The 15169-nt window shown below is 47.6% G+C and overlaps 1 protein-coding gene and 1 long non-coding RNA gene across 8 annotated transcripts in view, besides 1 other annotated feature; one reads left to right on the forward strand and one right to left on the reverse strand.

Moving 5' to 3' along the window:
- LOC105374065 (uncharacterized) overlaps positions 1–15169 on the forward strand; it is a 39736-nt gene that overhangs the window by 12658 nt on the left and 11909 nt on the right. The window lies entirely within an intron of this gene.
- Positions 7157–15169, reverse strand: part of GPR156 (G protein-coupled receptor 156) — a 119745-nt gene continuing 111732 nt past the window's right edge. For 6 of the 7 annotated variants that reach the window (NM_001168271.2, NM_153002.3, XM_017005796.2 and 3 more), the window contains 2 exons: positions 14991–15149; positions 7157–10063 (listed from right to left, as the gene is read on the reverse strand). In NM_001168271.2, the coding sequence (NP_001161743.1) occupies positions 8711–10063; positions 14991–15149 (1512 nt within the window). In that variant the 3' untranslated portion in view covers positions 7157–8710. Of the gene's footprint in view, positions 10064–11239; positions 11493–14990; positions 15150–15169 lie in introns of those variants that run through there. The other variant, XM_011512488.3, reaches the window with a different exon arrangement.
- Positions 12008–12232: a silencer, noted in NCBI's record as "fragment chr3:119889176-119889400 (GRCh37/hg19 assembly coordinates)". NCBI's record gives its function as "represses an EF-1alpha promoter that drives an FKBP-Casp9 reporter gene in an ReSE screen in K562 erythroleukemia cells {active_cell/tissue: K562}" and the evidence as "EXISTENCE:reporter gene assay evidence [ECO:0000049][PMID:32094911]".

The following is a 15169-nucleotide window of genomic DNA, read 5'->3' on the forward strand; positions in this document are numbered from 1 at the left end:
ATGGGACTAAGACCCTTACAAAAGAGGCTTCATATAGCATTTGTCTGATTGACGCTTCTGCCTTCCACCATGTGAAGACTCGATGTTCCTCCTCTCTGGAGGACGCAGCCCTCACCAGGCAACTGAACCAGCCAGCGCCTTGATCTTGGAGTTCCCAGCCTCTGGAACTGTGAGAAATACATTTCTGTTCTTTGTAAATTTCCCAGTCTGTGGTATTGTGTTATAGCAGCAGAAAATGGGCTGAGACAGGAACCTTCCTCCTCAGGTCTTGGTGGCTCAATTTCTTCTAGCTGTATATGTAAGCTCCTATCACAGTGCCTGGCACATAGTGGGCCCTCAGCAAATGTTTGTTTCCTTCATTTCCAATGAGACAGCAGAGATTCTCAGAAATGTTAAATTTCAAATATGTTCTGACAGAAAATTGCTACCAAATTACTTTTTGTCTGTTCAGGACACTCTTGGTAAAAACAGAAAGATGGGAGCATAGAGAGTTGGCCCATCTTCAAAATAAACCTAGAAATGTTGGTTGACACCTAGGTGTCAGGCACTGCAGAGGCTAGCATGAAAATGCAGTGATAGATTATACAGGGCACTTGCCCTCCAGTATCTGATAATCTATTTGAACAGGTAAGATGTGAGCATGTGAAACCTTAACAATAAAGGATTTATAGAACAGCCCAAGACAACAGTAGAATTGCTGTCGGGGGCATATCAGGAGTATGCAATTTATTGCCTAATAAATCTGAGGACAGCTGGAACTGGTCAGAAAGAGGAAAAGCTACTTCAGGTTGGGGTAGTTAGAATGAAGGAGAAAGCAGCTGGTGTGAACAAAAGTGTTGAGCCTGATCTGGGCCTAGGTATGCCCCAGATACAGACAGCAAACCCAGCTGGCAGGAACAAGGAGAGTTTTAGGTAAGTTTAGTGGGAGGGTGAGCTGTGCCTCACTGGGGTCCCCCTTAAGACAGTTCTGGTGAGACCAGTCTTCCTCCCTTGATTAATTCTTCTTTGACAAGCATTTGCTGGGCACTGATCATGTGCCAGGCACAGTGCTAGGTGTGGGGGATTCCAAGATAATTATAACAAGTTCTAGGCTCAAAGAGCTCACAGTCTAGTGGGGAAAATGAGATTTCAAGCCCCAAACCAAGGTGAGATTTCATCCTGCAGGAAGTAGGGAGGAATGAAGATTTTTCTAGCAAAGTGGGTTTGAATTGAAAAGGGATTGTGGGCCGGGCTCAGTGGCTCACGCCTGTATTCCCAGCACTTTGGGAGGCCAAGGCGGGTGGATCACCTGAGTTAAGGAGTTCAAGACCAGTCTGGCCAACATGGCGAAACCCCATCTCTACTAAAAATACAAAAATTAGCCGGGCGTGGTGGTGGGCACCTGTAATCCCAGCTACTCAGGAGGCTGAGGCAGGAGAATCACTTGAACCTAAGAGGCGGAGGTTGCAGTGAGCCAAGATTGCACCACTGCACTCCAGCCTAGGTGACAGAGTGAGACTCCATCTCCAAAATAAAAAATAAAAAAGAAAAAGAAAAAGAAAAAAAAGAGATATTGTGGCTCTTCCCTCAGCTCAGTAGAAGATCTGAGAGTAGCACTGTTTCCATTTGCCACAGGGTCTTCTGGGTCTCTTGCGCAGAATCATCTTTTTGTGCCACTTACAAAGCACAATCCTTGAGAAAAGTTTTTCAGTTTGCAGGACTGACCGTGATCTTTTTAAACAGGGAGACTGCTTGCTGTCAGTATCACCTGTATTTTGCATTGAGCTTTCTGAAACTGAGGAGGACCAGGTAGCTCTAGGGAGCTCCCTTCCAGCCTCCAGGATGCTGATGCAATGACTGAGCAATGGAGAGTTTTGCAATATGCTTACAGAACCAGACCAGCTTGCTTTTCCTAAGGAAACCTTGGTGTCCTAAGAAAACCTCAGGCTGGGTCCCTGCCCTGCCGGGTTGAAATTCCTTCTGTCTTCTGGTAGCATGCCTGTAGCACATGCTCTGTAACCAGCTTTAGGGAGTCCACAAAAGGCTTTGGAATGAAGTCAAATTTCAGTGCAAACTCAGTCTCTGCCTCTAACCAGTTGTGTGATTTTTGGCAAGTGACCTAACCTCTCCCAGTTAAAGTTTCCTCATCTGTGAAACAGAGTCAATAACTACTTTGCTAGGTGGTTATAAATATTAAATAAGATGAGTATTAAGTGGTGCATAGCAGATTATCTTACATATATTTTCTTCTATTACAAAGTGCATAATATTTTTCTGTTTTTGTTTTTTTGAGACAGAGTCTTGCTCTGTCACCTAGGCTGGAGTGCAGTGGTGCGATCTCAGCTCTCTGCGAACTCCACCTCCTGGGTTCAAGTGATTCTTCTGCCTCAGCCTCCTGAGTAGCTGGGATTACAGGCACAAGCCACCACGCCTGGCTAATTTTTGTATTTTTAGTAGAGACGGGGTTTCACCATATTGGCCAGGCTGGTCTCAAACTCCTGACCTGAGGTGATGCACCCTCTTCGGACTCTCACATTGCTGGGATAACAGGCATGAGCCACTGCACCCAGCCAAAGTGCATAATATTTCTACTAAGGAAATTAGTGTCTCTTGGCTCCATCTTAAAAAAAAAATCGAATTTCCTGGCTTTCCAACTACACCTTTCCTTCTGGCCTCACCCTGATATTTGAGTTCTGCAGATGGATATGCTCCCTATAGTAAATGCACCTGTCTCAGATGGGTTCAGGCAGAAAATTCTATTTCCCCAAAAGTGGGCTGAGCCAAAAGGCTATCCTTGCTTTTCCAGATCTCTTCCCTCAGGAACAAATTGAAGACCAAGATGAGGAATTTTTGTGTAACACAAGAAAACATAAAGAGGATTTCTGCATATAAATCTGTGTTTTCCTTTGTAAGACTTTTTATCTACTTATTTTTATTCAACAAACATATGAAACTTGCTGCGTGCCAGGCACAGTTCAAACCATTTTACAAATATTAATTCATTTAGCCCTCATAACCTCATGAGGTAGGTGTTGTTACCCCAGGTGGCAGTTGGGAGCCTTTGAGCCATAAAGAGGTTCTGAACTTGCTGAAAGCAACATGGTCATGCAGGTGACTTGAAGCCCAGGCATCGCAGTGGGGATAGAAAATTATTGTACAAAAATTAATGAAGAGAGCACATCTAAAATGCCTTCTTTCCACAAAGGGTTCAAGATGTTATCACGGGGGATTTAAATTTAGGTGAAGCAGCAACACTGCCATCCATCACATAAGTTGAAGAGATACCTAAGCCTGGCTTCCCACTTGAACTTTTGTGAGCTGTGCTTCCCTGGGGTGCCCCTTAAGACAGTTCTGGTGAGGTCATTCTTCCTTCCTTGATTGATTTTTCTTTTGACAAGCATTTGCTGGGCATTGACCATGTGCCAGGCACAGTGCTAGGTACTGGATTCCAAGATAATTATAACAAGTTCTAAGCTCAAAGAGCTCACAGTCTTAACGGGAAAAGTGGAGAAATGAACAGTCACACATGCCCTAAAGAAAGGACTCTGCAAGGATATCTCTGCCATTCTTCGCAGAAGCAAGCCTCACCTCTCAACTTAGAACTGGCGTCAGTACATTTATTTATGTGAGAGGCAATTGCCACAAACTGTCCACATAGGATGCCTTTTGTTCTTTGATTGGCTTGCTCCTTCACCACATCTCTCTTCTCATCTCTCTGTTGTTTGGACTTCTTCTTCTTCCTCTTCTCTTCTCTTCTTCTTCTTCCTCTTCTCTTCTTCTTCCTCTTCCTCTTTCTCTTCCTCTTTCTTGTTGAGTTGAAGTTTCACTGGGTCACCCAGGCTGGATTGCGGTGTCACAATCATAACTCACTGCAGTCTCAACCTCCCAGGCTCAAGAGATCCTCCTGCCTCAGCCTCCCGAGTAGCTGGGACCACAGGCATGAGCCACCACACACAGCTGATTTTTTATTTTTTGTAGAGACAGGTTCTCACTCTGTTACCCAGGCTCGTCTTGGACTCCTGGGCTCAAGCAATCCTCCTGCCTTGTCCTTCCAAGGCATTGGGATTACAGGCGTGAGCCATGGGACCGTGCCTGAACTTCTTATCCATCTTCCCTTTTTTTCTCCTAGCCTTTTGCTTTCTTCTTAGTCACCCACAGACCTTTCCAGGGTGTCTCCCAGGCACTTATTCTCTGAGCCTAATGTTTCTTGGGAAACCTTGACACAGACCTTTTCAAGTTCACAACAGGTTTTGATTTGTGACATTGGCATTTCCTGTCTTCTTGTGACTTAAGTGGTGAACAAAACATCTCAAGATGTTCTCTTATTCAAATGTGGTTTGATTGGGGAATGCTAAGGTCAAGAATGTTTCAAGGAGCAAGACATCAGAGTGGGTGCCAGGGATAGGGAAAGCAAACTCTGAGGGCAAAGTGATAAGCTCTCTCCTGCTTTCAGCCTCCTAAACACCACTGTCTGCATTAAACCCTCCCTCTTGGGAGGCCGAGGCAGGCAGATCACGATGTCATGAGTTCAAGACCAGTGTGGCCAACATGGTGAAACCGCGTCTCTATTAAAAATACAAAAATCAGCCAGGTGTAGTGGCAGGTGCCTGTAATCCCAGCTACTTGGGAGGCTGAGGCAGGAGAATTGCTTGAACCCAGAAGGTGCAGGTTGCAGTGAGCTGAGACCACGCCACTGCACTCCAGCCAAGGCAACAGAATGAGACTCCATCTCAAAAAATAAAAATAAATAAATAAATAAATAAATAAACAAACAAACCCTTCCTTAACAGAGCCCAGATTGTGTTACTGGGAAAAGTGCAGTGGCCGGAGGGAATAGAGAAACTGTTTTGTTTGGAGTTCTGAGAAAGGGGACTCAGGAAGCTGTTGGTGATAGAGACAAACAGGTCTTTCTTCTGCTAATACTGCTTGTTACTCATTAACAAGCCTGCAAAGAAAACGTCTTTAAGACAAGAACTTTATCAAGAACTTTGCGCTTCTCTTCCATAAACTTCATTGCCCTGTTCCCCAACCCCCCAACAAACTTAAAGTACTGTCATTTTCAGAATTCAGTGACTCCTGGGTCTGCAGGTGATGTAGTTTCATGCTGTTAACTCACCGGAAGGCAGTGGAACCAGATGCGTGTTTTTCCTCCTGCTCCTCCGCTCTGGCCCCAAAACAGAAACTTTGCCTTCCTTTGTTTCACCCATTTATCTACCCAGAAATCCACCCATCTAGCATTTGTTGGGTGTATACTTTGTGCAAAGATCTGTAATGGCTACTCTAGAGGAGAAAAACGATGGAGAAGACATGCTCAATGCTTTCAGGAGCTTGGAATCTGTGGAGGAGACACATGTAAAGATAATACGATAAACACAGATACAGAAGAGATTTTATAGAACTTGCATTGACTTTTCTCTTTTCCTCTTTCAAAGTGATATCATTCTTTAAAAACAGGCCTCCTGCCTCTGATGCTTTTTTTCTCCTCTATGAACTCTAGGAAGGCCAAGTTGAACCTTTAAGGAAAGAGGGTTTGTGGCAGACCAGGACAGGGAAAGACATTGGGATCAGGATGGAATCCAAATGTTGAAATTCCAAGATTTTCAACAGCAGAGGACATATGCTGGGGTTAGAATCAGGCCTGGCTCCATGCTATGCCTTAGGACCAACAGAGACATGTATAGCTCAGATGACAGCAGCAGAGGCAATGTTTACTTCTCCAGGATTCCTTTGCACAATTTACTGCCCTTTCTTCAAGAGCAGAACAACCAAGAGCATGCCAAAAGTCATGGCACATTCAGCCCTTTAAGGATTTCATCACTGGATTAGCTGATCTTAGGTAAAAATTTAGGAAAGGAGGTGGGGAAGGGTAGGGGTGATGCACAGAGTAAATGATACATTTGGTGGCAACATTTTGTTGAGCACAGTTATGGTGTTTGCACATTGCTTTTGAACAAAATGATAAATTTCAATCAGGTCTGGCAAGCGTTACAAAGTCATTCTAGGTCAAATGGATAACAGAAGCCTCTATATAGTTGAGTCCAAAATACAGACCCTAAGACAGCCTTCCTTCTCTTTTTTCTCTTTCTTCTTTCTTTCTTCTCGAAACGGAGTCTTGCTCTGTCACCCAGGCTTGAGTGCAGTGGCACCATCTAGGCTTAGTACAACCTCTGTCTCCCGGTTCAAGCAATTTTCCTGCCTCAGGCTCCTGAGTAGCTGGGATTACAGGCATGTGCCACCCACGCCCGGCTAATTTTTGTATTTTTAGTAGAGACGGGGTTTCACCATGTTGGCCAGGCTGGTCTTGAAATCCTGACCTCGTCATCCGGCCGCCTCGGCCTCCCGAAGTGCTGGGATTACAGACGTGAGCCACTGCTTCCAGCCCATCCTTCCTTATTTAACTAGGGAATCAATCAGCTTTCTTTGGGGATGGCTGGGAAAGGTTGAAGAAAGAATGTATGCTCCACCTGAGCCTTGAAGGATGAATAATTCACAAGGGCACAAAGTGGGAAAAAAAATTCTAAACAGAAGGATGGAGATGTAGAAGGGCGGGGATGGTGGGACTAAGGTTCTAGAAGCAGACAGAGTGAGAAGGCTAGAAGGATTGCCAGATTTAGAGTCCACATGAATGAATGGTGGGCTGCTAGTGGTGGCATGCTGGGAGGAAGGGAGCTGCAGGAGGGGGAGCCCAGCCACAGGACCCCCAGGGGCAGGAAGAGTCCAGGGTCTCCAGGGTTTCCTATGTCCATTGAGGGAGTGTTTCTGGGATAAGAGGCTTCTTAGGGAGAACACAGAAGAATCTGTTCAAATGGAACTTTGGTAGAAGGTACACTGGGACCCAGGGTAGCCCGGCAGCAGCTCTGATGGCTTCTCTGGTTCCCCTTCTTTGGGTGGGTCAGCCTTCTCCGGGCCCCTCCTGGCCAGCCCCAGATTACAGTTTCTGAAAAGACTCCTCTCGGGAGTCATTTCTCTTTTATTATGGTACCACTTGGACAGCACACACACAGCACAAGAAACTGCAAACCCATGCACAGAATAAATTAGGAAATTCCTGTTTAAAAGTAGATGATAGAAGAAGCTGTGCTTCCAGGAGGGCCTCATGGTTCAGTGCCTGGAGAGTCCAGGGGTGTCAGCAGCCCCCAAGATTCCATGATAAATTGATGATACATTTAGAGCCAAATGCCCCCCTCTGAGAATATTTAATAAGGCCTGAATTCCTTCATGCAAACATGTGCACACCCACAGATGTATACACAGGACTCGGGGCAGGGGACAGCCTGGACATGACAGCCAGCTCAGCAATAAGCACAGTGGACCCAGGTGTGCTCTCCCTGTGGCTCTGGTGGTGGCTGAGTTCCTCGCACTCATCCTTCACCAGCTCCCCAGCTCCCTTGGGAGGTGCCAGTGTGGCCTTTGGCAGTGAGGAAGTGGAGGCCCGTTTCCTGAGGTGAGGACCCAGGTCTATTATTCTGGACTATAGGGGAGCACATCCCAGCTTTCTTACATGAGCCTTGCTTTGTTGTCTCGTCTGCCAAGCGTCACCTGCCATTCCCAGAAGAACACATGAAGCCATGTGTCCCTGGGAAAACCCACCTACTTGAGTCCCAGGAGCTGTGTGTACATCTCTGTCCAGCAGTGTGATGTTGCGGGAAACTACCTCATTTCTCTAAGCCTCATAATCCTTGTCTGTAAAAATGAAAGTGTCTACTTCACAGGGTTATCAAAAGGAATCACAAAAATATGATATTGCCAAGTACTATGCTGGACTCAAGTGAAATATTCAAATCCTGTTTTCTTTCCTGTTTTCGTGTCCCTCGTGTCTTCCTTTTTATTTCTCCATTTGGCTTCCAGGTTTATGTGTCTGTTGGTAGTCATGTAACCCCAATGGAACCAAAAGCACTCTTGACCAACAGGTTCTCCCATACCCCAACAGAAATTGCTGGTGTGTGCCTCCCCGCAGTACAAAACTGCATCAGTGGGTGAATCGAGGATGAGCCACAGGACAAGGGGACAGTGGGGACAGTCAGGACCTCAGGTACATCCGATCCCAGGGGAGAGATCTGGGAAGCCTGCGGGCGCATGGAGATCTGTCTCAGAGAGGAGGGTAAAGTGCCATAATGGTGGAAAGACACCATCAAGAAATAGTGGTGTAGGGGTGGCTCTGAGCTGGGTCTGGCCAGAAGCTGGAATCTAGGGAGGTGCTGTTCACAACATTCAGCAGAAATAAAACCACTGCCTTCCAGGAGTGGGAGGCCCAAGGATGTAGGAGACTTATCTTCCTGGTAGGTCTGTCCACCAAAAGGCCAGTTTGATGGGTCACAGTCCACACCTCAAGTTCTACAGAAATTTCCCATGCATCTCTCCATCTGTCTGTCCATTCAGCCATCCATCTGAATATATTAAGAGTTTTACAGAATGTAGGCTGACCTGGACAGAAAATCCTATGTGTTCATTCAGCACCTTTTATCCAAGGAGTCAGTGTCTTTCATAGTCACTCAACTGGAGTCTTTTATAGTAAGGCTGCGAGGTAGTAACAGGACAGGCAATGCCTCTCTTTTTATAGATCAAGAAGTACTCAAAGTAACACAGTGAGCCTAGCTGAAACATGGTATGGGCTGGTCAAATGCAGGGCACTAATCTGTTCCCCAAAGACCAGAAATTGGCTCTTCTCCTGTGGGCCTTGGTACAGCTTCTCTTGGACTGACCTCTGTGTCTAGACCAGCTCTGTTGCTTTTCACACCAGCGTGGGTTTCAAGTCATCTTTGAAGTTCACAATAGGCTTGGAGCGGGCCCACAGCTTTTCCCAGGAAGCCAGCCCCCCAGTAGGCTCAGGGTCAGTGTCTGATGTGCCACTGTCACTAGAGTCAGAAGAGCTCTGGAAGCAGATTTCACAGTAGGGCCGGTGGCAGCGGCAGAAGAACTCATCTGAGCTGCTGGACTCAGTATCAAAATAGCTGTGTTGAGAAGACAGGGAGGCACAGCCTGAGGGCACTGGGGGCCACAGCTGCCACTGTTCAGGCAAGTCAGGTGAGGCTTTGGAGAGGCATGGGGCAGCAGGACTTGGGGCCCGGCCAGAACCAGAAGGCTGGCGAAGAAAGGCTGCTTTGCTCCCTCTAGCCCCCTCGGGCTCTGTCTGGCTTTGTTTGCTGCCCTCCAGGGTACCTGGTCTGTCTTGAGGATCTGAAGGTAGTGAAGGCTTCCTGGAAGAAGGTCTTCGTACTCTGGAATCAGTAGTTTGTGGGGCCAGGCTGGGGCTGTCCCCATTCTGCACATGTAGCCTGCTGTGTGCCCCAGGAACAGTCCTGTTTGCCCGATGCCCCACAGATGAGGGTGCAGAGCCAGGAAAGTGTGAGCGGGCCCGCTGAGCTGCCCGCCTTCTCCTCACCATGTAAGGGCTAAAGCCGAGCTCCTTGGAGAGGGGCATCTTTTGGGGGCTGAAGGCAGCACTGTTCTTCCAGGTTTGCTGATGACAAGAGGGGGCGGTGGAGAGGGAAGCCTCAGGGCCCAGGCCCAGATCTTGTAAGACCTCCTGAAGTTTCTCCCTGATTACTGAACTAACCCGTGACCGCCGCTCTGGGGGCTCCTCTGAGTTCTCCAGATGCCTCTGTCTCTGGGGATCTGAGCCGCCTCTTTCTGGTAGGAGACTCTGGCTGGGGTTCATGGGGACTTGGTCTCCTCTTTCTGGACCCAGGCTTTGCTCAGTCCATGGCTTCTGGCTACAACCTGAGTCTAAATGATCAGAAAAGTCTTTTGAGTCAGATATCTTCTCCTCCTTCCCTGGGGAGAAGCTGGAGTCCTTCCCAGGCCCCTCAAGGCTTTGTGCATATGAGGAGGGCCCTGAAGTGCACTGGGAATCCCGGGCAGCCATGCCAGGATCATTCTGAAAGTCAGAGAGGTGACCCGAAGGCCCCTGAGCAGCTGCCAGGGTGTGGACCGAGGCTACCGCCTGGACGTCCTTGTTCGGGGAAGAGGCAGGTGGGGCAGCCCCCTCTGGGAGGTCATAGGTGCACTCAGCTGACATCAGCCTCACAATCTTCTCTTTGGCGTTGTTTACTTGTTCCTGCAGGCTTTCAATCACAGCATTTTTCTGTAAAATAAAAGCAAAACCATCAACAAAAGATGCCGCCGAGGGTTCCATAGTGCCCACCATGGTGGAGAAGGTGTGGCTTTCAAAGAACCTTGGCTGAAATCTCAGTTCTTCCAGTGTATTGGCTGGTGACCTCAGGTTCTAAGGAGGTGCCTCCCTCCAGTGAAATGAGTTGATGCATGTAAAGTGCTAGCACAATAACTGACATAAACGGTGCTCAATAAAGGCCAACCATGATTTATTGTCATTATCTTGGTCTTCTCCTTACATCCCCACACTGTGCGGCATTGCTTATGAAGAGCAAGGAGGCCCAGTCTGAGTGCCTGCTGGCCACTGCAGCGCCCTCTCACCTTTCCCAGAACTGAGAGGGTCAGGCCACTCCGCAGGTATGAGCTGAATAATGTTTGGAATGGTCCCACTTGGAGTTTATCACACTTTTGCAAAAATTTAGATAAATGTGAAGCATATCTCCAGGGGATGAAGAAGTAGGAGAACAAGTATTTTGCCTCTTACTAAACAGCCTAGAAAATGGGAAGAACAAGGAGAAGGGTGGAGATTTCTGTGACAATCAAATAAGATTGGAGCTGAGAGGGGCCAAAGAGAATCTCAGGTTGGTGTTATCACCTCCCTAGGCTGGACCTCTGGGAGTGAGTGGCCAAAGCTACCATGTGGCAATATCAGCTGTTGATTTCACCTAAAGCAGGGGTCCCCAACTCCTGGGCCACGGACCAGTACTAGTCCATGGACTGTTAGGAACCAGGCCGCACAGCAGGAGGTGAGCGGTGGGTGAGGAAGCATTACCACCTGAGCTTCCATCAGATCAGCTGAGACATTAGATTCTCACAGAAGCGCAAACCCTATTGTGAACTGCACATGTGAGGGGTCTAGGCTGCACACTCCTTATGAGAAGCTAATGTCTGATGATCTGAGGTGGAACAGTTTCATCCCGAAACCATCCCCCCACCACTATCTGTGGAAAAACTGTCTTCCACGGAAGTGGTCCCTGGTGCCAAAAATGTTGGGAACCACTCACCTAAAGGAGTGCAAGCATCAGAACTATTGAAGAAGCACAAAGAAATGAAAGGACTGTTGGGCTTAAGCCCCTGCTAGCTTGATTCAGCAGCCCTAGAATGGAGCCCAGGAGACGAAGGAGCCTGGGGCAGTTCTGCTACTGACCTGCCTACTCGCTGGATGTTAGCTGGTAAACAAGTTGTGCCGGAGAGGGCTGGCAGGTGAGAGCTGCAGAGGTGTGCCTGTCCTAACTGCGAGATTGTGGGGCATGAAGTAGGAGTAGGAGTGTTGGCAGTGGGTTGCAGGGAACGACTGCAGCCCAGACATCTTTCTGTGGTGCAGCAGCTGATTCTCTAGTTCAGACTGTGTGTCCATCTCTGGAAACTTCTGATCCTCAAAGGCAGAGCAGGGAGGAGATATTCACAGGGAACGTCTGGACTTGGGGCAGATGACATGGGGTCGAGGGTTCTGGGAAGGCAATAATGTAAGCAAATGTTCTAGAAAGTGCTTGTCTGAACACCAAAATGCTACCTCTTTGTTACTATCATCTTTAGGAGCTGGGCATGAGCATTTGGACCTCCATTTATTATGCCCTAGAAACAAAAGGATGTTCCCTGTGTTAGGATAACCAATACAAATTGCCTAGTTATACCGTCCATAACAGCTAACTAGGACTACTAGTTATAGAGTGAACCTGTGGTTTCATCTCAGGTTTACATGGGAGAGTTGCCTAGAAATGATCCTTTAAGGGAGCAGTAGCTTAAGCAAAATAGTCCAATATTCTGACTAGCAACTCTCCAAGCAGATGCACTGCTCCCCTTGTAGAATTGGGAAGGTGATTTTTCTGATAGTTGGTATTGCTAGTTTCACCCTGGTTGAGTATACTTCTTTTACCATCAGAAGAGAGTCCAGGGCCAGTGAGGGACTGGTGAGTAAGGTAGAAGAGACTTTCAGCTGAGCACATGTGTGCCTGTCCTCCCTCCCTTCCCTCTGCCCGCAGAGTGGTGAGGTCTGGGTGTTGCTGGGTGAGTGCAGATGACTCAAGGACTTGTCAGGGGCAGAATGGATGAGCAATAGGGAAACACTCAGGTGTTTGTGATCCTGGGCTGTGCCAGGCATCTCTCTGAGGATCTCATGGGGGGACCTCAACTCCCTCCTCCACCAGCCTCTCCTCCTGAAGCCCATCGTGCACATTCTCATGTGGGCTTCTGGAGGCCTCTATAGCCTCACAGAGTTAGGAAGGACCCATCGGCAGATGGCAACTACTCCCGTGGGTGAAATCTGAGTGCTGTCTTTTTGTGCCTTATCTATAAACTCCTTTGAGTATAGAAAGATACTATAAACATGGAGTTGGGAAGAAGCTGGCTGGTGACAGATTTAGAAACATCAACCTAAACAGAAAATTTCCTTCTTCCAGAAAAAGAAGTGGGACTCTGTTTTTACCATGGCTGCATACTAATTAGAGGTGTGGTGTGAGGCACTGCCATTATGAGACTGAAATCTGACCTACCACGGCAGCTGCACTTCAATGAGCTTATTAATTATTATTTTTGGCATATTGAGGGAAGCAAAACATCCACCTGCATGTTTCACAGGGGGCAGGCCATAAGGAGACATGGAATTAGCCTCTTGTTTCTATGGTTCAGGTAACAAAAGTAATAGGTTTGTTTACTTGGCTGCAGAGTGTATGAGGAAAGCACTTCAGCCTTGTGGAAGGTTCTGTCTGCTGGCCTTCTCTTAGACAGGGAAGTCAGTGATAGATGTGATAGATGCTGTCCGAAACAGCTTCTGGGGGGACCCCTGGCTATAGAGGCAAGAGGGAAAAGTGTGAGAAGATGGGGCTGCCCAGATCACGGGAAAGTAAGAGGAAGGCCTGAGTGGGGGAGTGGGGCCTGCACAGGAAGGCACTGCACACCATGGGCCAGAGTCAAGGTCTGTACATATGTTGAGCCAGGAGAGATACTCATGTTTCTCTAACGGGCAATGCTGGAGCTGGGGATGCAGATGCTGGAACCTCCTGACACCTGCCACCGGGCCCTAGGACTGGCCGCTTGTTCTCTGGCCTGTTCTGGGAAAGAGATTCCAGGTGTAGCGTGCACTGGGGAGGCCAGCTTCTTACCACTTGTGCACCTGTGCCCATTGAAGGGCTTCCTCTGCAGACTCAAAGCATCTTTTTGGATATAGCAGATTGAGTCCCTGCGTGGGAAACAGGGTAGCATGGCAGAAGTACAAACAGCACGTTGCAAATTACCATAAGGCTAAAGAGTCAGTCCACTTGGCTGTTCCAGCATCAGCTGACTGTGAATGAAAACTATCCTGGCTGTTCTAGCCAAGTTTCTGGCCTTCTGTGTAGCCAGGAAAAAAAAATGCTTATTTGAAGACTTCACAGAGTATCAAAGGCAATATTACTCCCTTGCCAGGTGGAAAGAAATCTGGCTTTGAAATACTTAATAGTAAAGAAATGGAGAGGTGTTACTCTGATGGACAAAAATGGTCCAGAACCATAGAGGGGCATGAACGGTGGGTGCCTGGGTGTGCTGAGTCCCTTCATCTGTTGTGTTTTCTAGGTCCCCACCACACTATCCTCTCATCAGGGACTATTAATACCTAGGCAGCAGTCCTAAAAAAAAAGCCCAGTTTTCCAAATAACACCTCCTGAGATAGGTTCTAAACTGAAAAAATATGGAATGTAATTCAGTTAGTGTCAAAATACTGACTAACTCCCCTGGGCCCTGTGCCTTCTTCCTGAGTCAACGAAGCCTTCAAACCTTTCCACGTGCTTTCTTCATGCCTGCATCACACTGCCCAAGTCTGGGAGAGGGGCCAACTCTGGCTCAAATACAGAAGAAAGAAGCCCGGGGGAGCTGCCTCATTCTCCCTTGGTGCTACAATCACATTCAGAAGCCCTTGTTTAGTCCCCTTCTCCATCTGTAGACATGCCTGGACTTTCTGGGATGATGGGCTGATTGAGATCTGTAGCCAGTACCTGGGAAAGACAGTAAGGACCCCAGGAGATCTTGGACATGAAGACACTACTCTATGTAAAAAGAGAAAATGAGGCCAGGCGCGGCGGCTCACACCTGTGATCCCAGCACCCTGGGAGGCCAGGGCAGGTAGATCACTTGAGGTCAGGAGTTTGAGACTAACCTGGGTAACATGGTGAAACCCCGTCTCTACTAAAAATACAAAAGTTAGCTGAGCATGGTGGTGGGTGCCTGTAGTCCCAGCTACTTGGGAGGCTGAGGCAGGAGAATTGCTTGAACCTAGGAGGTGGAGGTTTCAGTGAGCCAAGATGGTACCAGTGCACTCCAGCCTGGGAAACAGAGTGAGGCCTCATCTCAAAAAAAAAAAAAAAAAAAAAAAAGAGAGAAAATGTATCACAGGGAAGCTAGTGTCCACCACATTTCAGGGCCTTTACAATGCTGTTCCCGCAGCTTGGAATACTTTTCCCTGTACTCTTTGCCTGGCTAATTTGTACTTAACCTTCAGCCCTCAGCTCAATGAGTCTTTTCTGACTGGTCTAAGTTATGTTTTCTTGCCCTTACCACACATTATTCTGTCTTACCACTCTGATTTTTCTTTCATAATTCTTATGACAATGTATAATTACATGTTTGCTTGATGAATGAATCTCTATTTCTTCCACTAGACTGTGAGCTCTGTGAGGGTAGGAACCATGCTTTTGTTCATTGTTCACTGGCACAATGCCTGGCACATAGGAGTGACTCATTATACATCTGTCCACTGAATGAATGAAGTAGATGCGTGTCACGGTGGAAATGGTGAGGTTTTGCTTGCTGTTAAGAGAAGTGGGAGAATGAGAGGAAAAGAGAACATCAGCAATAAGAGCCTTGGGGGCCACCGATGCATGATTGGATCCTTTACAGGGAATCTTCCAGGCAGGGGCAGAGCTTACTTCTGTGAGGAGCCTCTCCATGGAGCTTTTCTCTCCCCTCGGGTGGCAGTTCTCCTCCTCACCATACTGGGTATGGAAGCTTTTGTTGGGAGTGCTGAAATATTTGGCCATGCGTCTGATTGTTTGGTTTTCCTCTTCAAATGCCTTCCATTGCTTCAGCTGTTAGATAAAAGAACACA

The sequence above is a fragment of the Homo sapiens genome, chromosome 3 (assembly GCF_000001405.40).
Source record: "Homo sapiens chromosome 3, GRCh38.p14 Primary Assembly".
NCBI lineage: Eukaryota > Metazoa > Chordata > Mammalia > Primates > Hominidae > Homo > Homo sapiens.